Here is a 2,436-nt window from a genome sequence, read left to right on the forward strand (position 1 = left end):
TTTTTTTCCAAATCAAGTTATGAAATCTATATGAAAACTGCAAGGCAGATATTCTGAAAACTAAGCTGCAAAACTCAAGCACAAATACTGTAAAGGCTGCTTGGACTAGTCTTTGGGGACGATATGCAATTATCTAAAGTGAGAGGTGAAATGGGAAGATATTGACAAAGCAGGACTTACTGAATCCAGGAGGACCAGGCAGGCTGTCATTATGACATCAATAAAGCTTGTGCCCAGGGCAGGATTTAATATGTACAGACAACAGTCTTAATATAGAGGAGTTTCCTTCAATTATGGACCAAACAGATAATTTCAAATAAAATGGTACATTATCATCTATTCACCCTGCTTTACACATCAGCTTCATGCTCCAGGTTTGCTCTATTATCTCAGCAGTGATGGTCAGAGAGGACAGGAAGCTTCTGTCATACATATAAGGATAGAATAGATATTGCGACCAGTTGCTCTAACCACTCTGTTACTTGCTATTCATTCATGTAGGAAATAGTGATTGAGTCCTTGCTGTGGATCTGGTGCAGGCACCAGAGGTATGAAGTTGATTGAGAGATATAGAAAGTCTTTTCTAATGGAGCTTGACTTAAAGAGATAGACAATAGGTAAGTGAACAGGTGAATTAGGTGACTTCAAGTAGTTATATATGAAGGGGTGAAAATAAGAGAATTGCAACAGATAGGAGTCAGGGAATGCTCTCTGGATAAAAATATTTGACCTGAAACTTGACAAAAAAGAAAGAAATAGACCAGGACAAGAGCTGGATAGCAGAGGAAACACCAAGAAGAAAGACTTACGTAGGAATGAGCTTTTGGCTCTTTGCGATCACAAAAAGGTAGCTTGTGTCAAGGGAGCATAGAGAGGAAGAGAGAGAAATGTAGAAATCACATTCACAGAAGCAAGCAGGTGCAAGGTAGTTCAGGTTTTGCGTCTAGGTTAACAAGTTTGAAATTTTCTAAGACAGTGACTTGATTTATATTTGTAAGAAGATAATTCTAGCAGTGTTGGCCGGGCGCGGTGGCTCACACCTGTAATCCCAGCACTTTGGGAGGCCGAGACGGGCGGATCACGAGGTCAGGAGATCGAGACCATCCTGGCTAACACGGTGAAACCCCGTCTCTACTAAAAATACAAAAAAAAAATTAGCCGGGCGTGGTGGCGCGCGCCTGTAGTCCCAGCTACACGGGAGGCTGAGGGAGGAGAATGGCGTGAACCCGGGAGGCGGAGCTTGCAGTTGAGCCGAGATCGCGCCACTGCACTCCAGCCTGGGCGACAGAGCGAAACTCCGTCTCAAAAAAAAAAAAAGAAGATAATTCTAGCAGTGTTATAGATACATTTTTGTAGAGAAAGATAAGTATAGAAGAATGGAGACCAGTTGGGAGGCTGTTGCAGTAATTCAGGCTAGATATGCTCATGGGCTGAAATACGTTGGTGGCAGTGGAGACAGAGAGAAGGGGTCAAACTCAAAATATATTTTAGAGGTAGAGTTGAGAGGGTATTGTGATGGATTGAGTGTGGGGTATAAGGGAAAGAGAGGCATCAAGGAAGATCCTTCATTTACTAGCTTCTGCAAATTGTAGGTGATGGTGTTAATTTCTTGAGAACAAAGGCCTCCTTTCTGACGGCTGTTAAAGCAATTACTAAGTGATGTTGAGCCTGCTATAGCATTATATTCTCCAGTTAATTGTGGAGAAAAGTGCTTATCATTAGAAAGGAAAAAAAATGAAGAGCAATGTGTGATAGTACAAGGAAAGATGAGTGTTGTGAATGAAACTATTCAAGTCTCTCAATGAACTCAGCTGGTACCTACTGTCCCCAGCAGCCACCAGAGGCTTCACCAGTGGATTCACCAACATAGCTCCCATCTGGGCTGGAGCAGTTTGCTTAAAAGTCAGGGGCCAGTTTTCTGGTGGAGCTTTTGTGACACAACCACGGTGTGAAAGTTTAAGAGTTTTTAGTAATTACAGACCTTAGAGGGTACAATGCACCGTGGAAGCCACATACATGAGGGTCAGGGAGAAAAGGCAGAGAGAGAGAGAGAAAGAGAGAGAGGGAGAGAGAGAGAGAGACATTAGGGAACCATGGGCCAATGGCTTTATTGGGTCCAAGACATTATCCACACAGGTTTCTTGCAGGTAATTAATTGGTAGGTTTAAAGCAAGTAGGCACTAGTTCCAGAACATCATCTATGACAGGGCCAGTCACTTTTAGTTTACAGGTTAATGTCTGCATGATCCTTTTAAAGGAAGTGGTAAGAAAGCTGGGTGCCTAGCTTGCTAGGCAGGAGAGATGTCACTAAGTTTTACCTCCAGCCAGTGACTGCAGCCACTTGGGTGGGGTATAGTATTAGAAACTGTGTCAAGGGTGACAGAGCCCTGCTTCTGGTATGAGAAAGCTAAACTTATATTTAAAAATGGATACTGA

At 42.8% G+C, this 2,436-nt stretch overlaps 1 annotated feature.

Moving 5' to 3' along the window:
- Positions 741 to 1,242: an enhancer, noted in NCBI's record as "H3K4me1 hESC enhancer chr11:81164979-81165480 (GRCh37/hg19 assembly coordinates)". NCBI's record gives its function as "activates a minimal SCP1, AML or CMV promoter by ChIP-STARR-seq in naive H9 embryonic stem cells {active_cell/tissue: H9 hESC(naive)}" and the evidence as "EXISTENCE:reporter gene assay evidence [ECO:0000049][PMID:30033119]".

The sequence above is a fragment of the Homo sapiens genome, chromosome 11 (assembly GCF_000001405.40).
Source record: "Homo sapiens chromosome 11, GRCh38.p14 Primary Assembly".
NCBI lineage: Eukaryota > Metazoa > Chordata > Mammalia > Primates > Hominidae > Homo > Homo sapiens.